This window comes from Homo sapiens, chromosome 7 (assembly GCF_000001405.40).
Source record: "Homo sapiens chromosome 7, GRCh38.p14 Primary Assembly".
NCBI lineage: Eukaryota > Metazoa > Chordata > Mammalia > Primates > Hominidae > Homo > Homo sapiens.
Window position 1 is genome coordinate 27,821,836 of NC_000007.14, and position 25,569 is coordinate 27,847,404.

Below are 25,569 nucleotides of genomic sequence, written 5' to 3' on the forward strand. Positions count from 1 at the left end.
ATTTATTCCCACCAGCCCAGGAAACCCTCAGTCCACTTTGTTTATAGATTCGTCTGTTCTGCATAGTAATATAAGTCAAATCATAAAATTGTTATCTTTTGTGACTGGTTTCTTTCACTTAGCATGTTTTCAAAGTTATCCATGTTTTAGCATGCATCCATGTTTAACATGAAGAATGGGTTTTATTCTTGTTTGTTTGGGTGGTTAGATTGAGCATCCAAAATCCGAAACTGAGTGCTGACATGATACTCAAAGGAAATGCTTACTGGAGCATTTTGGATTTTCAAATTTGGGATGTTCAGCTGGCAAGCGTAATGAAGTATTACAAAATCTGAGAAAGTCTGAAATCTGAAACACTTCTGTTCCCAAGCATTTTGGATAAGGGGGACTCAACCTGTCCCACATTTTGTTTACCCATTCATGTGTTAGACATTTGGGTTATTTCACTTTTTGGCTATGGCATACGTGCTTTTGTTTTCATACCTTTTTACTTCTTTGGGGAAAGTGGAATTACTAGGTCAGTTCCACTAGCAACTGCTGTAGTGGAAATCCTAGGAGTGGAACTGCTGGGTCATGTGGTAACTCTTATGTTTACCTAAACCTTTTGAAAAACTGCCCGATTGTTTTCCCCAGTGGCTGCATGACTCTACATTCCCATCAGTAGTGTATGAGGGTTCCACTTACTCCACATCCTCAGCCACACTTGTTACTGTCTTTGTGAAATGGTTCATCATTGTGATTTTGATTTGCATTTTCCTGGTGGTTAATGATGTTAAGCATCTTTCATGTGCTTGCTGGCCATTTGTATATCCTCTTTGGAAGAATATCTGTTCAAATCCTTCTGCTGTTTTCAAATTGGGCCCCTTATCAGATAATAGGGTTTGCATATATGTCTCCCATTCTGTGGGTTGTCTTCACTTTTACGATGGTGCTCTTTGCAGCACAAAACTTTTTAGTTTTAGTGAAGCTGAATTTATGTTATTTTGTTGCTTATACTTTTGTTATACCTAAGAAACCATGGTCTCTCCAAGGTTTTTAATTTACTCGTATGTTTTCTTGTAAGGGCTTTATAGTTTTAGCTCTTATATTTGGTTTTTGGTCTATTTTGAGTTAATTTTTGAATATGGAGCAAAGTAAAGCTTTTGAAAACTAACAGATGTGCAAAATTATTTTTAATTTTTGAATATGGAGCAAAGTAAAACTTTTGAAAACTAATAGAGATTTGCAAAATTATTTTCTTTCTGATTTTAAATGCTTTTAAATTAGATAAATTATATATAGTTCAATGTTATTTCTTCATTGATATATTACTAGAAATGAATGTCTGGCAAAGCATAAGCAATAACATCTCATAAGAAGAGGAGGAATACTGACTAATACTGTATAGTAATACAAAGTTTTGAGGGGCAAAGAGATATTCTCTTGTTTTAAATAAAAGTTACCCAGAGTCATTGGGTACTCTCTTTTCTCTTATGCATTGATTTTGGCCTTAGCAAATATGTAAATTTCTTAAAGTGTGAATACTCTTGAACTAAAGTAATAATTATCAACTTAGTAAGAGTTTTGTTAAGTGGTGAAACTTTTCTTCCTCAATATTAATTACTAATTCCTGAATGATAACTAAATATTTCAATTAGTAGTTCCTAGCAAAGGTAGAATTACAACACAGTTTGGGAAATGCTAAGTAGAGAGTCCCACAGTCTGGATACTGATGATACAGATTATGTAACTCAGTCATTTACCCCTGAGTATGTATTGCCATAACTTGATCATGATAGATGGCATTTTTTTTATTGTGGTAGAATAAATATAAAATTTGCCATCTTAGCCATTTTTAAGCATATAGTTCTGTAATGTTAACTTTACTGCTGTGCAGCCAATCTCTGGAAACTCTTCATCTTGTAAAACTGAACTCCTTACCCATTAAACAACAACTCCCATTCCCTCTTCCTCCAGTCCCTGAAAACCACCAGTAATTTGAATTTGACTACTCTGGGTACCTTATGTAAGTGGAATCATATAGTATTTGTCTTTTTGCGAGTGGCTTATTTCACTTAGCATAATGACTTCAAGGTTCATCCATGTTGTAAACATGTATCAGAATTTCATTCCTTTTGAATAAGGGTAAATAATATTCCACCCTATGGATATATGCCACATTTTGTTTATCCGTGCATATATCAATAGACATTTGGGTTGTTTCTACCTTTTGACTATTGTGAATAATGCTGCTATGAACATGGGTTCGTGATTGAACATATCTGTTCAAGTCCTTGCTTTTAGTTCTTTTGGGCATATACCCTGAAGTAGAATTGCTGGATAATATGGTAATTTTATTTTTAATTTTTTGAGGAACTACCATGTATGATCATGATTGCATTTTGAAGTTAGTGTGATCTAACCCTAATTTATTTTCCAACAGGTTATAACCCCCTTTACCATCAGGCCAGGCAGGTGACTCATGTCTGTAATCTCATCACTTTTGGGGAGGCCAAGGTGGGAGGACTGCTTGAGCCCAGGAGTTTGAGACCAGCCTGGGTAACATAGTGAGATCCTGTCTCTTAAAAAAAATACCGAGTGTGGTGGTACACGCCGGTAGTCCTAGCTACCTGGGAGGCTGAGATGGGAGGATTGCTGGAGTCCAGGAGGTCATGGCTGCAGTGATCCATGATCGTGCCACTGCACTCCTGGGTGACAGAGCAAGACCTTGTCTCAAAAAAAAAAAAAAAAAAAAAAAATTACTGTTCAAATGTCCAAGGTGGTCGTATGCTTTTAATAAGAAAACAAGAATGTTTTTGTACAGAGTATATCCTGAGCAGATAATGAGAAGTTTTTGAGTTTCAAATTGAATGTCAGTTTATCGTAGCTTGTTTCCTTTGCTTAAAAACCAGTTTGTAATGGAAAGAGTATTGTGCTGATGGGTGTAAACATAGATGAAAACAATAGGGCGTTTAGATCTTTAAATGGATTAAAGTAATATTAATAAAAGTTTTCTGAAAAGGTATTTCTTAAAATTTGGAACTGTTCATAAATATATTTCAGTACGGTATTCTCAATAAAATTTGCTTACAAGATTATTTTAGTAGTTTAGCTAAAATACTAGGTGGTGATATTTTAAAATGTGCTGTTAAACCCTTTGGGTTTGTAAGTTTCAGTGCTGAAACTGATAATTTAATAATTTGGGGTAGAAATATTTCTAAAACAGAATGCATGATTCTCTGGCTTTCCATGCTTTCATTTAATATAACCTTGATGATTAAGGTTTATTTAAAAAATCAGTGTTACATGGTGTCATATTCTTTTAAGATGTATAGTAAGGCTGTGTGATCTATTACTAATAGTGAAATGCCTAACATTGGATATTTCAAGTTCTTGTCTTGCTTTTCTTTTTCCCAGTAGCTTTTTTTTTTTTTTAACTGTCAGTCGGCCTGCTTTAAAAGCTTCATTTCCAAATTAAAGTATTTTTAATCTACTGTGGTTTTGAAACTAATTAACCAGGCTTGTTGAGTAAAATAGAATAAATGTATTCTCGAGTGAAGATTTCACTCATCATTTTGCCTGTCAATATCATGAGAGACTTTATTATATGTATTGGCTCCTTAGAGTGCTTACTGCATACTCTCTGATTTCAACCTATGCTCTGGGTAGATGGTTCATGTTTTATTTCATGAGAACTTATTGTTTCTCATTATAACATGTAGAATTATACTCTTGAGCCCCTCTCCCCTTTTATTAGGTAATAGGTGGTAGAAGATAACAGAATAATCGGGTTATCATTGCCAAATTATATATGACTTAGAAAGTATAAATTACTTCTACCTTTTTTCCCCTCCAGGTATTTAACGAGCAGGGTTAACATGTCTGACAGTTTGTCTGAGTCTGGAACCTTAGCTACAAACTCTACTGTTAGCTGATTCATGGAAGCAGTAAATTGGTGTAGGCTGTTAGCTATTATAAAACAGGAAAAGGAGGTTATGAGACTTTTGGTTCCATTACATTTTTGGCCCCTAGAAAATTGTATTCTATTTTAAATATTTGTCGTTAAAAATTCTAAAAAATATAATATCAAGACCTGCCCCATTTTATCTTTTCCAATTATTTTCTTCAGCATTTCAATATTTTGGATTTTTTTTTCAAAGATGAGTGAGAAAATTTTGTTCCTTATCACTGTTTTGTAGTTATTTAAGTATACTCAGTGTTTCAAAGATTGTTGCTGGGAGGCCTAAATCTGGGAGCTAGAGTAACCTGGCACAAAATCAGAATTCACTGTCCTACATACTAAGCTCAGCAGATTCAACTACTTTCTCATCTTCCTTCTTTGTATCTACAGACTTAAAAGCTGTCTGGATTTTAGTTACTTGATTGAATTTTTGAAGTATATAAAGTATTCGTGTTTTATCTCCCAATTTAATCCCCCATTAGGTTATCTGTCCCGTTTTCCTTTTGCTCAGTTATATCCTATGGGACTCACAGATAAACAGAAGTATTTTACCCCTTCTTTTACTTTTCAAGAGGGGAAAATTGTCAGAAGGATAGTCAAGTACTAGAAATACTCATTTTGTCTTTTGTTTGTTCACGTTGCACTTCACACCATATATACTTTTTTTGGTGCTCCTTCCCATGACAGACTTAACTGACCCATTAATAGCAGCTCTGGGGCAAGCATGCCTACCCAGTAACATAAAGGCTTCCTCAGTGCCGGCTGCGCTTGGGGATATGCTGTTAGTTCATGACATGAGAGCAGCTAACGGCTGCTGAGAGATAAAAAGGAAATAGGCAATTTAGATGATGTGCCTGGTTTCAGTGTTAAATGAGCCTGTGTGTTTGGCTGTTGATGTAGCACGTACAGATCTCTAAAAACTGCTGGGATGCAGCCATGGGAATCCAAATCAGTGTTTTCTTTGTGATGAAAACTAGATGCACAAATTTTTAGAAGTCTCACTTGACAACCTCTGAAATATTTAACTTTGGATTTTGTTCCTCTATAGCAGAGTTTTGAGGCTTGTAGTTTAGTGCATTGCTTTGCTTTAACACGTGTTAATCCAGTTGGACTTGCTTCCCCAAGAATATGCATATACAAACTCACACATACTTTATTAGTTTTTCATTATGATTTCTGTATATCATGCAATGGATGTATCTTGTCAGAGAGACTGTCTTTCTTGTAATTAAGCTTACAGTTATTAAATGAGAACGTTTGGGACAATAATGCAGTCTGACAGTATTGAAAGTAGGGCCAGGCACAGCGGCTCACGCCTGAAATCCCGGCACTTTGAGAGACCAAGGAGGACGGATCACTTGAGGCCAGGAGTTTGAGATCAGCCTGGCTAACATGGTGAAACCCTGTCTCTACTAAAAAATACAAAAATTAGCTGGGCATGGTGGTGCACACCTATAATCCCAGCTACTCAGGAGGCTGAGGCATAAGAATTGCTTGAACCCAGGAGGCAGGGGTTGCAGTCAGCCGAGATCGCGCCACTGCACTCCAGCCTGGGTGACAGAGTGATGACTCCATCTCAAAAAAAAAAAAAGCAAAAAACTGGTCACCCAGTCTGCAGAATGATAAAGTCAGTAAAAGTTACCTACGTATATAGGTTTGAAAAGGTCTACTGTTCTCAGCTTCATTTACACATACAGGTATGGTAAATGGTATGTGTAAATGGTATGTCTCTATTCCTCTGAATACTGCTTTTTATTTCAAGAACACCACAGTGTTAGTTTATAGTGAAATACTCTGCAAAGTTTCAAACATGTTTATTTGAAAGTCTAATTAAATGATAGCAGAGAGAAAATTTCCTGAAGTGTAATCTTCTTTTATACTGTCAGTATGTGCTTGATTGAATTAAGGAATTTATATTTGGTTTTACTTTTCTTAAAAGTTCCAAAATTATTTTTCCCCTAGGAAGATGAGAATGTGCCTACTGCTCCTGATCCTCCAAGTCAACATTTACGTGGGCATGGGACAGGCTTTTGCTTTGATTCCAGGTAGTTTTCTTCTTTACTTTGTAGAATTTGGGTTATATCGGCCAGTGGTTCTCAAAGGTGGTCCTTGGGAACTCATTAGAAATGCACATGTGTAGGGCCTGGCCTAGCTGAACCAGAAACACCAGGCGTAGGCCCAGCAATATGTGTTTTAACATGTCCTCCGATTTAGGGAGTTTTGTCAGAAAACATTTTTAACTTGCAGTATTTAAAAGAATATTTACTGTTCCTAAAATGTCATTCAAATGCATGTATTGTCTGTTGTTTGGGGATGGGAACTAGTTTTGCAAAAAACACCTAATGTTGTATAATAATGCACCAATGATCTTGCTGGTTAAAAATACAGTATTTTTGGCCAAAAACAAAAACATGTCCTCCGACTGATTCTGATGCATACAAGCATTTGAGAACCAGTGCCATAAAAACTTTGCTATTAAACCAAATGCACTGGTGGGAAGTTATGAGTTGTATTTATCCTTACAGTCTTACAAAAGGCATTTTCTGTTAAACGTGGAAGAATTCTTGGTACTAATTTCACGTAATTGTGATTGGATTTGGGAGGTTTTAAGGGGGAAAAACGGTTTTGTTAATCTAATTGTAAAATTGAATTTAGAGGCTCTATAAATGGGTTACACAATTGTCTACAGCAAGCATTTAGAAGCAGAGAAATGTTTCTGGAGTAAAGACTTTTAAGGTAGGTTGTTTAGTATGAATATCAGCTAACTAGATAAATGGAACCTTGTCATATATGGACAAGTTGTTGTTCTACATTTATTAGAAACATGTAATTCTTTCATTTTTCTCTTTAAGCTTTGATGTTCACAAGAAGTGTCCCCTCTGTGAGTTAATGTTTCCTCCTAACTATGATCAGAGCAAATTTGAAGAACATGTTGAAAGTCACTGGAAGGTGTGCCCGATGTGCAGCGAGCAGTTCCCTCCTGACTATGACCAGCAGGTGTTTGAAAGGCATGTGCAGACCCATTTTGATCAGAATGTTCTAAATTTTGACTAGTTACTTTTTATTATGAGTTAATATAGTTTAGCAGTAAAAAAAAAAAAAAAAACCACACCTAAAATAGACCACTGAGGAGACCATAGAGCGGATGCTTTCATGCACCCTTTACTGCACTTTCTGACCAGGAGCTACTTTGAGTTTGGTGTTACTAGGATCAGGGTCAGTCTTTGGCTTATCAATAAATTTTAATCTCTGTTAATCTTACCTGCTTTAAAAAAAAGTTCTTGTGTGTTCGTATCTTTATTTATTCCCTAGTTTGCAGAACTGTCTGAATAAAGGATACAAGGATTATTTCAATGTTACTGCACTGAAAAACGTGTATGTATTAGTGTGCTAGATTATTTAGCAGAATATTCACAAGTTTCTGTTGACCTTGTTGATTGAGCATGACTACTAAATATTATGTAATAAAAAGCATTTGTCATAACAGTCTTATGAAGTAGTTCTTCGAATATAGAAAGTTCTATAATTTAGCCCATGAAATGATAGGTTTTTAATTTTCAGAAATGGAGCTGCATGTAGAATGAGATCACATGCTTTTATATGTGAAATATTGGTTTTAGCAATTAACAGAAGGCATACTTTGCTAATTTTATGGCAAAATTTTAGAATAACCTGAATGATTATTTTTAAACTATCTTGAAGTTGTATGTATATATCTAATGGGAAAATGGAACAAGAGATGTCAGTATAATTGTTTTCCTATTAAATGATCTCATAACAGGGGTGTTTGTGGCATAAAAATCATAGAATATATATCAGTATCTTTTTTACATTTTCCTGATGAGAATATAAATTTGAAATATTCTCAGTAAGTGATTAAAAGTACAATACATAAACCCAAATCAAAGTAATGTGTTTCTTCAGTTATGTCTGTGCTGTATAGAACTGTCACTAACATTAAAGAAAGAGGACACATTTTTCAAGATCTGTAATTTCATTGTTGTCAAATTTATTTGTGAAAGTTTTTCATTAATCTAGCATCTTGAACATCTTTTTTTGGTTTGGGCCTTTAAAATACTTCTGAATTGTATTCCCTTTCCCTTTTATAATGTGCGTGTGAATAATTTAAAGCACCAACTTTTGATTTTGCCGCTTTTGTAGTTATCATCAAAATAGTTTACATTTGTTCTGAGCAAACTAGCTATTGAAGATGTTAACCTAATATTTAGACTTGGTGGCATTTTGAGTTGCTATATGTGAACTGCAGCATATCATGTCGTCACTTGTATTTGTTTGTGGAAGCAGAGTTTGTATATTGTTAGAATCCTTTAAAAAGTTTTTTGAGTCTAGGGCAAACCAGTATGAGGCATTCATATGCCAGCTGTTAGGACACAGCAGTCCTAGGAAGCAATAGCTTTGGAGACTTTCAGCTTCCAGATAGGTTATATACTTAGGTAAAATATGTTCAACAATGGGAGCATTTTTGTTGGAGTTAATAATTATGGACCATGTTAATCCAAAAGTATCCTTGGAATATTTATTATAGTAGTAGACACTGTTCATCTTACTAGCCTAGAACTTATTTTAAAATAGTTTAAGTAAGTAAGTCCAAGCTTAATTTGTTATTGACAGAAAAGTAATACAGCCTAATCTAATCTAAGCAAAAATGTAAGGGAATAAAGTCTACATGCATCAACTGAACAGCCTTAGAATGAGGAACTGAATGGATATATTAATTTCCATGGTAAACTTGATACTGGTTTTCATAATGGACACTAAGGAAAATAAAGAGCCATATTTATTTTTGGGTCAGAGGCAGTTTATTTTAAATGTGATTTCATTTACATTTATAAGCAGCTTTTCTTGACAGGAATTTTGATTAAATTGCCTTCAGTTCTAAAACAAACCTCTGTTGCTTTCAGACTTAATGTGCTCTGTCCCCAACAAAACATATGAAAATATAATTTAAAGCACAGTTTTCACAGACACAGTACAATACATTCACTATACACAGTATAACAAAATATTCCCATCCTTACCTGTTTAGTAATACTGTCACAATGAATAAGTAAATAGAAATTGGAATTTATCTTTGAAAGCATTGAAAGAAATTTAACATGCACAATGACTATTTTATGACTGTTTAGCTGTTGAACTACTGATCCAGCCTGCAGTTTCTTGCACTAGAAAGAGCGAAGCTAAATAATAATTGCTGGCCTAAAAAATTTTTTTTGGTCAATTGTAGGTAGATATGAAATAGCCAAGTGGGGCCTTCTTATGCACCAACTAGTTGCGTCTCATGTCTGGATCACCCTTTTAAACATAGGATAACACTGTATATTCAGGACCAAGACCATACTTCAGATCTGAGGAAATTTTTAGAGGGCAGTGTTTTTATAAATACTTTGAATCCCTCATAATGAAGGATTTTAGAACTTATGAATATAGAGGTTTACTCATCTAACAAACAGAACTGTCATCCTTTCAAAATGTCTGAAAATTGAGGAGGGACCCCTGCTTCCCAGTTATATGTGATGTAAGACTTTTCATCAAATGGGAACATGGGAAGAAACTTTATAAGCAATTTGAGTTTGTTTTATGGGCAGTTAGCTATCTCAAAGCATTTTTTATTGCATTATTAGGCAACTGGTAAACTCTCGTGTTTAAGGAATAGCACTTGGGAGAAAAGAACACTCAAGGCATGATGGTACTGTCGGTGAGGAAAAACTTAAGGAATGGTCCAGATGTAGATTACTCTAATAGGTCGTATTAGTCATGCTTTTCTTTGACCACCTGCTGCAAGAAGCACTTAATTGTCAATAAGGCTCATTTTCCTATTTCAGCAAAGTGTTTGTTTTATAAAGCTAAACAGACATTTCCAATGAGAATGCAGACCTCTCTACAATGTGATGAGAAAAGTACCTTTTAAAAAAAGTAAAAAATGAGCATGAAGAAGAGGCAATAGGGGTCTTAACAAAAGTGTTCATCTTTGAAACGTGCTTAGAATTTTAGTTCTGATTTGCAACCCACAGGTTTGGTAGGGCAGTGGTTGCAAGAATTGGCAACACATAAACATTAAATTGTTGGCAATAGAGAACTACAAAGTGCTTTAAAACTTCATCTGAAGATGAAGATATAACTAAACTTCACACACACACACTTTGCACTGAAGTATTTCAAAGTCTTTTCTAACAGATTTCAGGGAAAAAAGTATTTCACTAAATGGGTATCTTGGTCCGCAGATATCAATAGGCATAAATTGAATCCCTTGTACCCAGCAGGCACTCAATCAATGTGTGTTAAATGAATGAACGAACTGAATAGACTATTTTGTACAAAATGCCATTTATAACACTAAAATGACTAGTAAGTCAGATGGCAAGATTTTCAGCTTTTTAAAGGGCAAAAGGATTTGCAAGATAATATAAAACACAGAAAGCACACCTTTACGTATGTTATTTAAATATGAAAATATTTTTAGCATATTATGTTAAACATTCTTTCTTATTTATATTTCCATTACCTAAAGTCTTTCTACTCACAAATACTAACTCCATTATGTAAGGCATGGTAACCAGTTTGATAATGAAGGTATTATTTTGGTTTTGAACATATGTGAGTTGATGTGTTGAAAACTTCAATCACATTACAATCTTGAAAAAAAAATCTCAGTGCCAGCCCCTCCTCCCCCCAGGTTGATACCACCGCAATACAATTCAACAATATGCAACATGCCCTCAATTTTATTTTGTTTTGGGGGAAATGTGCTGAAGAACCTAGAGCTTTTTTTGTTTAGCACCTTATATCAAAGTAATGAAAATGGGTATGATGATTACATGTGCAAATGTACAAAATCATTAACTCTACAAAGATACATCATTCCAAAATTACAGAAAAAATTTAAAGCATGCATTTAATTCTTTTTCTTTAAAGGGTTGCTGAATGCTTCCCCTGAAAAAAGGTGGCTGTTTTCAAAATCAGCAACTGCTGGTGAGGATTTCTTGGCACAGTTATGACCAGCATGTTATTGCTGCATCTTCCTGATAATCTCAGCCGACACCGGGGGATGGAAATTGATTGTGTGGTGCCGCAGGCCCTGAGCTGTCTTGTAACTCTTCCCACAGCGACACTTGAATGGTTTGCGGACACGAATCTGTGTTCTGTGACCATTCTTAGCGTGATACTTTATGCCATTCACATTCTGTGGAGAAGACAAAAATATTTATTACATGGATTCACAGGATACCTGTCAAACTTCGGAAACCTCAATTTGGGTCTGGATTGCAGTTCCTGGATGGCAGCTGTTTAGAGTGTAGTCTTTTGCAAGGACTCCAGTTGGGACCCTTCAAGGACATTCTGGTGTGTCGGTCATGGGCTGTACGGATGGTCACACACACAGCTGACTCAAAATTTCAGATGTGCCTCAATTACTCTGAAAATGAAAGTACTGATTTCTTCCAATTTTATATAAAATATATATTTAGGACTTACAGACTGTATAAAGAAAATCCTCTGAATCTTTTCCACTCTAAAGAAAGTTAACAGTGAACAATCCTACACAAATATCCTCAGCATGACCAACAAAATATCTTTCTAAAGAAAAACATCAGGGCATATCCCAAAAGTTTAACATATAGAAATTTTTGATTTGGAAACTCAATTTACAGCTTGCTTCTAGATAACTGTGTTAACAGTTCCCTACCATGCCTTAACCAGAGTTTTTGTCAGTTTTCTGCTCTGCACTAAGCCAGTATCTCTGATGCCACTGTGGGAGCTACTTGTTGCCCAAATCTTGTCCCCGCCGTACAGTTGTACATGTTTAATAAGCACCTGTAGTCAGACTAGTCCTTACCTTAAGTATTACATTCCAAACATACAATGAACTTTAAAAATTTAAGGTTATATAATGTTAGTCACTAAGATTGGACTTCTTAGCATCTGGATACTAAAGTTATCAAAATGCTTTCTAAATTTCTGTTTGTCGGTTTTGCTAGTTCACCAGCATATTCTATGTAAGATTCCGTATTCTATGTAAGAGTCACTCTCTACAGTTTTAACCACCAGTAATCCTCATCCCAATTAAATGGTGAGGAAATGGGCTTGAGGGTAGTAAGTAACTGGTGGAAGATCTAAGAAGGGACGGCGGACGTGTGGTATTTGAGATAGGTCTTAATTTCCAAGTCAGCAATTGCCAGATTAGAGAGTAAGGGAACACAGAAGAGACAGCCTGAAACAAAAAGCACAGATTTTAGGAGAGTGAGCTGTTTCCTAAAATATTACCTAAATCCAGTCCTGCTAGAGCCAGTCCCTTGCCCAACTGAAGGATTCCAACACAAATTGTTCCCACTCTTCATGGGATGCCTTCAAAGAGCTCCCAGAAAACAGCTCCCTGCTGTTGTCTCATGAATACCTAGCACAGTGCCTGGCACATTGTCGATGCTAAGTCTTTGTGAGTGAATGAAGTTACAACAGCACTTCCCAAGTTCACGCCTCACTAGTCTGGAAGAAGGGTTGCTACTAAATATAAACGTGGTGGTGATTACTACACTAGAGATGTGCAGTACACATGAATGCTTTTTTAAAAGTCCTTGGAAGAGAACTCTGCTGGACTTTGTTGAACCCAGGGGTGCCAAGTAGCAGCTGGCTATGCTCAGAGTCTGAAGGTTGTCCAGTGATTTGAAGCAGAAGGACAAACACTCTCCCCTGAACACCTGGCTCCAGGCCTTCTGCACCTCAGCCCTGTCCTTCCAGCATCAATCCTTTCAAACATAAGGTACTTCAGTCTTGTTAAGAGGCATGTTGGGGGTTTCAGAGCCTACTGGGGCAGGAAAGGGGAGGGTAGTGGTGGTGGTAGAATCAGACCCACTGAAATGTTAGATGGGTAGATATGCCCTGCCAGTCCCTGGCGGTTCCATCCCCTCCGAGGCCCAGGCACATGAGTGAAGAGGCCAACGTGTGTATCCAGCCCAAGTGAGCCTTCAGATGATTCTAGCCCCAACTGGTGTCTTAGAGCAACTGCATGAGACCCCAGGCGAGAACCACCTTGTTGAACCAGGCAGCCCAGAGAACTGTAAAAGATAATTGTTTTAAGCCATGTATTGTGTGTGTGAGAGAGACAGAAAGAGAGTGAATGTTAGTTTTATGACCATTAGATAAAGACTTTCAACTTTAATATGGTGGAAAGTATCCTGGGTTACAAATGCTAGAAATGTGCACCTGCCTGCTTAGTAATATCCCATGTATAGCTCAACGAATATTGAGCACCTAGCAGGGTCCTTTTCCGTGGATGAAGGGCTACTAAAATATTTCATGTCCTTGTTTTCATGGGGAACTTGATGCAGGACAGCTCATTAATAATCCAGCTACCTCTGTGCCCCAAAACCATTCAAACCTTGTCAGAAAATAGAGGAAACCAAAAATAGAAAAGCATTAACCAAGAAACAAAAAGGCACAGCAACTCTTAACAGTATCAGGGCTTAGCCATTCCATTGAGGGCTGAGGTTTTTATAACTAATTAGGCTAAAAAAAAGATTTAAGACCAGAAATTGCTAAAGCCATAAAAGCCAGTCCAATGTGAAGCCAGATCTGTCGTTCACCAAGAGAAGGACAAGCCAGGGCTGAGGGGATTCCGGCAGGCGCTGTGGCCCATTCACAGCTTGAATGTAAACATTATGTTGTGTGTCTGGCATGAGACTGTGAAGAAAACAGCCAACACCACACACACATCAGCTTTATGACTCTGGAAAAATCAGGAAGCACATTTAGAAACATAAAGTATTTCCAGGGTTGGTCAGAGAACCTGCTGTGCCATCACTCCTTTGTCTTTGCTGCTGTGATTAAAAAATGTTGACAAGCGTCAGTGGGTTGCCCTTATCGCAAATGTTAGTACAAGGTCAAGTGAGACTCTATTAAGACATTTCCTCCATCCAGCCATTCAGTTACAGGCCGCGGGAACGTCCTCTTTACAAGACCAGAGGAGCTCTGAAAAGATCCACCAAAGTTTATTTCATCAGTCCTGAAACAAATTTGATCTTTCAGAAATATTAGTAAAAAAAAATAAATAATGGCCGGAAACCTGAAATGCTGAAATTGCTGAAATTCTTTGGTCTTTGAAAAAAATGGAATCAAGCTTCAAAAGGGCAAGGAAAGTTGCTAACATTTATTAAGAGCTTACCATACTGGGTACTTGATGTCAATTGCCTTATTTAATACTCATGTTCTGGATGAGAGAATTGACTCCTAGAGAAGGTGAGTGACTTGGCCAAGATCACATGGCTGGTAAATTACAGAACTGGAATAGGAACCCAGGGATGTCCAATCCATAGTCCATATTTCCTCATTTAGTCTCCTAATGTGCTAGGTACTCGTTAATTAGAACAACCAGCTAGTGGTCTTTGAAAAATCTTACCAGTTGGGAGGAAGGATTGGGATAATAGTCTGGAGAAAACTGTCTTTGAGTTTTCTCAAAGTGATGCTCTGACATCAAGCTAGTAAGGGAAGAAAGTGGGAAGGTAGGAGGTAGAAAGGAGAACTTAGGTGGGGGGGGTTCCACCATTAGGAACTACCTGTCCCCTCTGATGGAATTAGGCCAGTCAATAGACAGCAGGCGACTTAAAGGCTTTTCTAAAAAGTCTACTCCAAATCAAATCATGAGGCCTGAAGTCCAGATGCTGAGCTGGGCCATCCTGTCCTTACCTGTATGGGATCTTTGTTGTCAGTACTCAGGCCTTCATGTGTACAACATGTGACGCTTGCCCTAGATAAGCCCAGTGGTCAATTTCCCAGGGCCTGGATGTTGTACACAGCGGAGAAGATGAAGTTGCTTGGGGATTTGATGAGGAAGAAGAGTAAGAAAACAAATTGGGGATGGTAGTAGTGGTAATGGTGGGGGTTAAAAGTGAAACCACTTGCAGCAGTGTGGACACCTCACCAGCCCCAGAAAGCAGGAGGCTGAGGTGCACGCAGTTCCCTACTGGCCACTGCACAGCAGCACACACTGTGTCCAGCAAGTTGGGTGGGGTCTTCAGGAAAAAAAGAATTGCCTCTTCCCTCAGTCATTTAAATAACATGTTCAGTTAGACAATTACAGAAATTCAGAAAACACAGAAGAGGATAAAAAAGAACAGACACTATCACTGTTAATATTTGAGGTATTTCTTTTCACTATTTTTTCATACACACACACACACTCTCTCTCTCAATACCTTTTTTCCACTCAATGTTACTTTGTGAGCACTCCCTCATCATTAAATGTTTCTCAGTGTTTGAAAATGGGACACTGTATCTGGATCTGTCTCTGTTGCTGAAACAATCAATGTACCTCTCTGCAGCAGAGGACTCCAGAGGAACTTTGGGGGGCGGGGTATTGTTCTGTGTAACATTTCTTAAAACAAAACAAAACAAAAAAACTTTAAAAATGCCTTAATCCTCACCATTCTAACATAAAAATTATCAAAGGTTAAGCACTTCAACCCATCTTTTAAACCTATCTGCATTATAAGGAAGGGAAGTCCTCTCTGTTCCCTGAATTCAGGCGAGCATGAGCAGGGCAAGGGTGGTGGGCTCAGTGGTTGTGGCCTGGAACGCCTCTGGGAAGGATACAAAGGAAAAGAATCCTCCCATGGCTTTGGGGCTCAGTGGGGAGCCCACATTTCCCCGTTCCCATGGGCTACACCTTGATTCCTTTGCCCTCAGAGCATCTGTCACATCTGAGACATGTGCTGGGTGCTGAGGAGGGACAGTGAGCTCTGCGGGTTATGGGAGCAGTAAGGGAAATGGCGCCTCAATGTAGAAAGAGCATGTGGGGAGGATGAGAACTTGACCTATGAGGGGCGGAGAGGGGAGTAAGTCTGGGAGGTTGGTGAGGGGTCCCAGAGGTGGAGGCACTGGAGCTGTGCTGGAGAAAGGAGTGGAATTAAAATGAGAGATACTGAGGGAGAGAGGAAGGGACAGGGGACCCGAATATGCAACCCAAAAATGCCTCTTTGCCCTAAGGACTCTTTAGCCGAAGGCAGTTCAGCAGCAGCAGATGCAGGAAGGAGGCTCCCTGCTCTCCCTCTGTGTGCCTCAAAACAGGACACAAATTTACAAAGTCAGAAGAAAGCCCACTCCCACTTCTTCTGGGGAGATCAAAGGTTAACCAATGAAGAGGACTTCAGACTCTTATTGGCCTGGAGATGGTACTGGAGGAATCTACATTAACAAGCTAATACACTAACAGGACTTTGTCTGCCTTTTTTTTTTTTTTCTTTTTTCCTTCCACAAGTTGCTGCTTCCAGAGACTCAAAGCCCTTTTCCTTTGTTACTTCTCTAAAAATGTACTTAACTGTTCTTTGTTGAAGATGCTGTATAAGCTATGAGAACTGCCCATTCCCTGGGTGTCTTGTCTCCTGTGTGTATATGAAATACACATGTTGATAAACTGTTTTTCTCTTGTTAATCTCTCTTTTGTTAGAGAGAATCTGTTGCAACTAGAACTTATGATGACTGAGGAAAACATTATTTTTTCCTCTACAAAGGGCAGGGAGCGTCCTAGGCTAAGGAGTTAACATGGGAAGGAAATGTGGAGACTTGGCCTTACCAGTGGGATCCTTCTCCCATTCCCTGCTCTGCATGAGGTCTGGGAGTTCGGTACCTCATCTTCTGTCTGATCCGTAAATGCCAATGAAATGGTGAGGACTGTAGATCCTGGTCAGTGCCCAGGAGACTTGGCTGGCAGAGACTGCTGCCAGCAGCAAGCAGGGAATAAGAAAAGTCTGACTTGCCTTGAGAACAAATGAGGTGGTAGCACTTCTGGATTCTGCCCGAGTCCACAGTACCCAGCTTATCCCACCCTCTTCTCTCCAGTACCCAAGCCAGCAATGATGCTGTGAATAAGATGAAATACTAATCGCACTGGAGCACAGCCCTGCCTTCCAGCCAGCAACTTCGGGGCAGAAAGAGTCAGCTGCCAGCTTTGGGATGTAGGAGCAGCTCATCTCCAGCGCCTGGTCACAGGTGTGGTCACAAGCCTGCTATGGCCCTGTGTATCATGACCTGGCATTCTGGCCAGAAAAGGAAACTCACGCTTCCCTCGTGGGATCAGGACCACCAACTGCCACCCATGTCACCTGCCAGTTAATGGGGCTGGAGCCAGCAGCCCCTTCAGCCCAAGGCTCACTGAATTCTCAGTGGCCTTGGGTGGAGAGAGAACACTCAGAAAAGCCCCCACCAACCCAGACACAGAGAACGGAAGGGGGAAACTGCCAGAAACCCAAGCAAAGGAAAAGTAAAAGACAAAACAGAAATGACAAGGAGGAAAGGATGCGAGTAAGAAAAGGGGATGGAGCTGGAGGTGGGAGAGAGGGGATGCCTCCCCTGCACCCTGTGCCCAGAACCCAGGGCGTAGCTTGTATTTCCTTTGTTTTTTGGCGGGTCAGCCGAGTACAGGTCATTACTTGGCTCCCGCTTTTAACATGGCCGAGGTGCAAGACACCCCCGGCCTGGTGCTTGGCCCTGGAGAGCAGGCAGCAAGACCGCAGTGGTGGGGAGGAACAGCTGGGGGAGACGCGGTGGGAACCAGCCCCAGCCCAGGCAGTGGCCAGTCACAGCCTTATCTGTACAAATCAAGAAAGAAGGAAAAAGTCTCTTTCTGCAATGAAGCGCTGCCCTCTGGAAAAATGGGCTTGTCCAACAATCCTGTGGATGTTTTGTATCCCAAGGTAACCCCTGAGCAGCCCTTCCCTCCTCTCCCAACTCCACGCCTCTGACACAGAATGTACAGATGCGTCCTGAGACCTGTTCTGACCCAAATGCAGCGCTCCTCTGCCAGCCCTCAGAGGCTTCTCACATCTGCATCCTGGGAGTTCATTTCAGTTTAAACAATGAGCATCTGGACTTTGCATGATGGAATTGTAACAGTACCTAGGGAAGGTGAAACCTAGAAATGCTAACTTTGTGATACATTTGTGTGCCATGCTTTTATATCAATAGCTGCTATGAAAAGTACTGAAATAGATTAGTGTTCAGAGACACATATTTAAGAAGGGGCAATATAAGTGCTTATGCTATCTTTTTTTTTAAGCTTTAAAAAATAGTCAATCTGCTAGCCTATGAGTGAATTAGCATATCATCAAGCATACCAGGTATGTTTCTGATTTTTATACTCCTAGCTCACAGTTGGATGTGAAAGAGCTGCTAACACCTCATGGGGAAGTTTGCAATTTTGTTTTTTAAAATGCCCTCTAGACCCATACTTGACTATTGTGCTGTTTCTCGTTGTTTTGTCCCTGTTCCTTATTAGAAAAGTTAGCACCCCCAGCTGCCCATGACACCCAGGCCCTCAGAGACCTGGGTCAGCAGACAGGCAGCTGAAGCTGAAGTGGATGGTTTGGTGAGAAAAATATCAAAGGCCTTTTTTCTCCTGATCCCCTTTCATGCCACTGGGTGGAAGGAAGCAAGAACTTCCTCAGCTGGAAGCTAAATACCCTCCACACTCACCAAATGGCTCTGGGAGCCATCTGGGGCTTTTACAACTTCAAAGTGGTCTCCCGTGAGCCATCTGTAGGGCCATCCGTTGGGGAAGGTGCTTGGCAAATAAAGTAGGTTGACATATTTGATATTCTGTTCTGATGGGTCCCCCAATATGACATGAATTTGAAGACTATCAAAGACATGATCCTCCTACAAAAGCTCTCTCTTGACTGCCAGGCTCCCACGTAGGTGAGCAGAGGGGAAAGCCCCGGCAGCAGCGGTGGCGGGTGAGCACTTCCTTGAGGGCACCTGTGTGCACACAGGGGTGAGGCCCACGCACTCTAATGCAGGAGAGGGGAGTGTCTCCCCCCAGCCCATACGCTCGCTTTAAAATCAAGAAAGGGCTGCTGCCTTCCATGAAGCTTGCCCTGTTTCCATGTGGTTATGCCAAGCATGCAGCACCTCTGTTACCTTGTATCTCTTTTTACATCCAGGAACTGGGCAGGCAAAAGGCTTCTCTTCCCCTCCATTCATGCACATGGAGCTGAGGATGGCTTCGGAGCTGATGGCACTCTCTGTGGTCCAGGACTCATCGCTGTCCGACTCCTCATAGTCCACCTCCTCCTCGTCATACTCGCTGCCTGCAGGACAAGAGAAGTGCAAGGACTGTCAGGAGCGCTCATCTCCCCACAGGTTCACCCGGCCACTTCCAGGACAGGAGATGTGGCCGTGGCAGAGCAGCGCTGACGGCCCAGGGAGAGGGCACTCCCGGCACCAGGGGACTGCAAACACGGCTATTCCCTTACAACCCTGGAAGCAGGAGCCCTGCGTTCCCACCTAAGAGACCAGGGCAAGGGCTTCCCAACAATTCACAGCTAGGAGTTGGCGGAGCAAGAACATTAACTCGGTTCTATGGCAACCCAGCCTGTGGCTGCAAAGGCACAGGGAAGACTTGCTCTGGGGCCAAAACCAAAAATAAGCAACGATGACAGGCTCCTCACACTCCCCATGCTAGTGCCTGACACTCCCAAATGAGCAGAACACTGTCCCCTTAGTTTTATGCTTTACTGGCCTAGTAAATGCAGAAGTCTCCAAGGTCGGGGGTTACGTTTTGGACTTTTAAGGCATTTCTACTTCAGTGGAATGAATTTCAGGTCTTTTTCTTTATAGATTTGAGCTGGGAAATTTGGAACTAAAAGAGGGTTACCCTCACGCTAGGGAGCAAGAGGCATAGAAGGCCAGGAGGTCTAAGGATAAATCGCCAGCGGCAGAATGTGGGGTAGCTCCTGGAAGACGAAGCGATCCCCTACACACGCAGTACTAGGCACCGCATCTGCCCTTCAGCTCATGCGACACTTCCTGCTAGGGCTGACCCATCACAGTTACGCAGCTCAGACAGGAAGCAGGGATTCTCTTTTATTCCTAAGGGCTAAGAGCTCTGCTGAGAATCGAATTGAAATACACTCTACTGACTTCTTTGCAAGACGGCAGGGATGGAGAACCACTTCAACAGGCAGCCTCTTTTGCTCTTTTTTAATGAGGCCCAAAGCCATTTATTTGGAGCTTTTGCACAATACAACCCTGAAGGACATAATTCTACCGATCATAAACAGTGTAAAATAATATGTTGACAAGTCCTAATGCATTTACAAGCCCCGTGGAATAAATAGGAATTATAGCACAACATTAATAAGAATTATATGGTAGCAATTACAGTTGTGAAATTCATCCCCCAGGTGTGAGGCTACATTGCACCAGGGGCCTGCCTGGGTGCTTCAGGGGCTTACTCTGCTACATCAATTATTTCAACACCAAATATTGGCACTTTTATTGGGTTTCATTTTAATAGGCATTAATAAGATTGTTTGAAGAGCCAGTTGCGCCAGGAACAGGGACGCCGGCATCTGAGGCTCAAAGTTGAAAGGAGCCAGGAAGGAAGGAAGGGACCTGAAGTTTACTCAGTGCCTATGATGTTTCAGGCACACTCTGTGCATTATCTCATTTAATCCTCCAGTAACCCTAGGAGGTGGGGATTACTGTCACCGTTATACACACGAGCAACTGAGCCCTCGTGAGGTTAAAACGCGCATGTGTTCTGAACTCACCATTAAGGGACGGTGTGCTTTTTCCCTCATTGCTTCCCAGCCCCCAGTGCCAGGCTCTTCTGAGGGGTTCCCTTTTAATCTCCTTTGAGTTGCTGGCTCTTCACCATTTAATACTGAGATGGAATTCGAAGCAGTCTGTTTTGAAGTCTGTTAGAAATTCTCGGGTGGTGCAGAAAAAACAATCTGGCAAACATGAAGCTTTGGAGCTAAATGTGGGTTTCAATAAATTCTGCTGTACTTGGCCATAGCTCCCTAAATAAAGAGAGCCGGTTTGGAAACGCTTGTACCAAGTGACACAGTGGTACCACTTGGCCACGTTGCTTGGGGTCTGTCCTGGAGCAAATCTTGAAATCTGTTTTTAAGTAGGGCATTGTTTAAGACATTTTACTCTTAAACAAATGCCACATGCTGGCGTCCTTTAACTTGCTTGTTAGAAAACTATAAATGCTATTTCGCAAAGCTCCTCCAGCGGGACTTCAGAAAGTTAGAAAGACTAATTTATCCATCTAATTGGGCTAATTTGTTAACCTGAATACCAAGAGCCATGAAACATTTAGAATGGGGGGAGGGTGGGGCACCTCAGACCAACTGGGGGATTAATGAAGCCCAACAGAAGAGAAAACTTCAAAACTCCACTGGATCAAAAGCGATCAGCCCGAGGCGTTGAAGCAGCCTACACTGTCTGCGTCTCAGGGGGAAGGCACGTGGTATCCAGCCCCAGGCAGGGCAGGAAGGGGACACACAGCTTACCCTGCAAGTTGGAACACTTCTGAGAGGGAAAGGTAGTGTAGGCCGACAGGTGGTAAGTTGGAACTATCCCAGGCAAGGTGGGACACACACCACTCGGCAGCAGCTTACCACCAAGTCCTTGGGTGAAACTAGTCATCTCCCTCGGTTGCGACAAGATGGACTTTTGTTTATATACTTAATTTTGTCCTCTGACAGAGAACATCAACACAGACCTGGGTTCATGCCTTTGCTTTCGTTAGGTGAAGGACAAGCCACTTGGCTTTTATTTTCTCTTTCATGAAACAGGCACAAGTCTCTTCCTTGCAGGTTGAATTTAAAGATCAGAATGAGTGTGTATAGAATACCTGGGATAGGAGGACCTCCATAGAGTATGCACTGAAAACATGGAAGGCAGTGTAAGCAATGCCATCTTTGTAATCATATTACATATTCCATATAAAATAAGATGATCTTTAGAAAGGCCTGTTGTGAAACCAAACAAAATAATTCCAAAAGGGTTGGGAATCCCTACTAGAAAAAACACAAGAGAGACTCCAGGACCAGACAGGCCCCATCTGCTTTAAGCTCAGAGAAGGAGCAAAGCACACTCCAGCCCCCACCTCCAAGAGGCTACAGAGGCCAGGAGGGAGCGCAGCTGGGGCTCAGAGCACTGTGAGCCCAGGCAAGTGACGCCACCTCTCTGAGCTTCAAATTGCTCATCTGTAAAATGGGCGAACGCCTGTGTGCACTAAGGCTGTTGTGAAGAATAACTGAGTTCCTGTTTTTAGGACTCTGGACAAAATGCCTGGCCCATGGTAGGCCTTAGAGTAGCACATGGTAAGAAAATAAACAAAATGCTATGTGAGCTGTTTATCTCATTTACTGTTGCCTTGCTCTCTCTTGAGAACAGTCCCCTTTTTAAACCAGAGGAACATGCTGGGGTTCTACTACAGCTTTTCTTACTGTACCCCAAATGCTCCCCTTTTATTAACCAGGCGTCCACAGCACCAGGCGGCAGCCAGAGGGCCTGCGGTGGGCAGCGTAGGGGCTGCGGGACTCGAGTCACAGGCGCTCAGATGCTGGCACCCATTCGCGTCCCTGACAGGGCGTGGGGTGTCCTGCAGAAAACTTTTGAGGCCAAAACACAACCGCTGTTAGTCTCCTTTCAAACATTTTGGAACTCTAGAAAGAAATACCCTAAAACTAAGTCACCAAAGCCCCTGGGCCAGCCTCTGTCCTCTGCTTTATCCATTTCCTCATGTTTTCCCACAAGAGGAAAATAAATCCCAAGCTCGTTCATTCATCTTCAATTGCTGCTTCAGCTGCTATCTCTCAACACTCACTGCAGAATGAACAAATCCCCAGCAGTCTCCACACCTTTGCTAGGGAACTCCTTCCCCATTCCTGGAAAGCAGGAGGTAGCAAAGCTGCTTCTCCTAGCAACACCCTCCCAAGCTTTTACTCCTGCACTTCAATTAATAAAAATCACGAGCACTGCCCCGACTATGAATGTGTGTGAATATTTTTATTATAAATGCCAAATATGTACTAATATATCATTGCAGAAACCACATATGCAAAGAAGCAAAAAGGGTAGGGATAAAATAAGAATAAATATCTTAATACAGGAATAGTTTTAATAAATTTTTTATAAGTAGGTACAAAGAATTAATACCCCCTTCTCGCACCTCACTTTGAGCCCACTGCCCTGCATGCCAGCTGGGGCTCCAACGGGGCACATCACAGTCTGCACTGAGGCTATCAGGTTGAAATGAGGCTCTGGGCTACTCTAGGGGAAAATGAGGGGACCTTAAGGATGAATACATTCATTTATTCACATGGCAAACTTTTACCCAACACCTGTCATTAAGTAGAGTTGGTGGTCGTTAGGTCCTGTCTAAACTCCACCCTATAAGCCAAAGGAGAGGTGCCGGGTGCCCCGCCAGGAGACAGAAGATCATAAGGAAATGAAATGATGTTCTTGTTCTGTGCCTCGCACCATCCCGAGACAAGAAATGTTAATTTCCATACAATTTTTGAAACAACAACAAAATATATAAAGTATTTCCTCTGTGTAAAAGAGAGGGGAAAAAACAACTATGTGTATATATAGTTATAAGCAGTTGGGGCAGGACAGGTCTTTGCAGTGTGAGAGTCACAGAAAGAATCTACCCCTTTGGGGCCCAGAGTGGGCATCTGTGGAGACACTGGCAGATGTCCTCAACGCCACCCTCTTAGCAAGCTCTGCTGGGGAACTCTGGACTGGGGGGTCAGAATGTTGCAACTCACTTCAGAATGAACAATGCAGACCACTGAATCCCACGCTCATCTTGGTGTCTCAGAAGTTAGTGACTAGGGCTGGGCGCAGTGGCTCACGCCTGTAATCCCAGCACTTTGGGAGGCCGAGGCGGGTGGATCACGAGGTCAGGAGTTTGAGACCAGCCTGGCCAACATGGTGAAACCCCGTCTCTACTAAAAATACAAAAATTAGCTGAACGTGGAGGCACGAGCCTGTAATCCCAGCTACTCAGGAGGCTGAGGCAGGAGAATCGCTTGAACCCGGGAGGCAGAGGTTGCAGTGAGCCAAGATGGCGCCATTGCACTCCAGCCTGGGCAATAGGGCGAGACTCTGCCTCAAAAAAAAAAAAAAAAAAGAAAAGAAAAAGAAAAAGAAATTTTAAAAAAATGTTAAGTGACTGGCCCACAGTCACACAGCGGTCTGCAGCCTTTTCATGGGGGCTTCCCTTCTCCAGGTCTACCTCATGCAGGATTCTAAGCAGGAAAAGATCACACCGTGGCCTGCACCCATTCACATTCCCTCTCTTCTCCCTCTCTCCTCTACCCCACCCTTTCCAGCCCTAAATCGCAGGATGCTTCAAGGGAAAGGGACAAGGTGCTAAAAAACAAAACAGAAAAAACCCGTTATGTGCCAACCACCCCTCCCCATACGTTCCTGCTTGGGGGTCCAGAGGAAAGCTTTCTCACCACTACCACAAAGCTCTCTAGCTTTGTTCATCCTACGTACCTACTACTTCATAACTTCTAAGCTACATCTCCCCATTTCTTCCCTCCACCCCACAACCACTGTTTTATTCCCTATCTCTGTATATTTGACATTTTCCACATATAAGTGAGATCATGTACTATTTTTCTGTGTCTGGCTTATTTCACTTAGCATAATGTCCTTCAGGCTCATCCATGTTGTGGCAAATAGTAGGATCTCCTTTTTGTAAGGCTGAATAGTATTCCATTGTGTGTGTGTGTATACATATGTACACGTATATATACACGTATACGTGTACATATGTATACGTACATGTACGTATATATACATATACGTATACATGTATATATATACATATATACACACAGATTCTTGGTGCATTCATCCACCGATGGACAAGTTGGTTGTTTCCAATTCTTGTCTGCTGTAATGCTGGGAGAACATGAGAGTGCAGACATCTTCCTGGGGTGATGATCTCATTTTCTGTAGGTATATAACCAGAAGAGGGATTGTTGGGTCATATGGTTAGCTCTATTTTGCTAACACTTGTTATTACTTGTCTTTTTGATCAGAGCTGTCTGAATGGGTGTGCTCTTTTAAGTGCTAGCTCATGGTGGTTTTGATTGCATTTCTCTGATGCTTAGTGATGCGCACCTTTTCATATCCTGTTGGCCATTTTTATGGTTTCTTTGGAAAAATGCCTATCCAGGTCCTTTGCCCATTTTTTAATCAAGTTATTTGTTTTTCTGCTATTGAGTTGTATGAGTACTTTGTAAATTTTGGCTGTTAACCCCTTATCAGATATATGGTTTGCAAATATTTTCCCTAATCCATAGATTGCTATTTCATCTTATTGTTTCCTTTGCTGTGCAGAAGCTTTTTAGTTTGATGTAGCCTTATCTGTTTTTATTTTTATTTTTTTGAGATGGAGTTTCACTCTTGTTGCCCAGGCTGGAGTGCAATGGCACGATCTCGGCTCACCACAACCTCCACCTCCTGGGTTCAAGCGATTTTCCTGCCTCCCAAGTAGCTGGGATTATAGGCATGTACCACCACAGGCATGCACCACCCCGCCTGGCTTTTTTTCTTTTTTTTTTTTTTTTTTAGTAGAGACGGGGTTTCTCCATGTTGGTCAGGCTGGTCTCGAACTCCCGACCTCAGGTGATCCACCCACCTCAGCATCCCACAGTGCTGGGATTACAGGCATGAACCACCATGCCCAGCTATGCAGTCTCGTTTATTTATTTTTGTTTTTGTAGACTGAACTTCAGGTGTGATATCCAAAAAATTCATTGACAAGGCTAATGTCAAGTTGCTTTCTCCCCCACATTCTCCTGTTC

The 25,569-nt window shown here is 41.1% G+C and overlaps 2 protein-coding genes across 11 annotated transcripts in view; one reads left to right on the forward strand and one right to left on the reverse strand.

The window, feature by feature from the left end:
- The window catches only part of TAX1BP1 (Tax1 binding protein 1), a 90,395-nt gene extending 82,463 nt beyond the window's left edge, over nucleotides 1-7,932 (forward strand). For all 6 annotated transcript variants that reach the window (NM_001206901.1, NM_006024.7, NM_001362794.2 and 3 more), the window contains 2 exons: nucleotides 5,903-5,985; nucleotides 6,793-7,932. In NM_001206901.1, the coding sequence (NP_001193830.1) occupies nucleotides 5,903-5,985; nucleotides 6,793-6,994 (285 nt within the window). In that variant the 3' untranslated portion in view covers nucleotides 6,995-7,932. The remainder of the gene's footprint in view (nucleotides 1-5,902; nucleotides 5,986-6,792) is intronic.
- Nucleotides 8,742-25,569, reverse strand: part of JAZF1 (JAZF zinc finger 1) — a 350,219-nt gene continuing 333,391 nt past the window's right edge. For 4 of the 5 annotated variants that reach the window (NM_175061.4, XM_047420026.1, XM_047420025.1 and 1 more), the window contains 2 exons: nucleotides 18,863-19,032; nucleotides 8,742-11,141 (listed from right to left, as the gene is read on the reverse strand). In NM_175061.4, coding sequence (NP_778231.2) covers nucleotides 10,965-11,141; nucleotides 18,863-19,032 — 347 coding nt within the window. In that variant the 3' untranslated portion in view covers nucleotides 8,742-10,964. Of the gene's footprint in view, nucleotides 11,142-18,862; nucleotides 19,033-22,729; nucleotides 24,713-25,569 lie in introns of those variants that run through there. The other variant, XM_047420024.1, reaches the window with a different exon arrangement.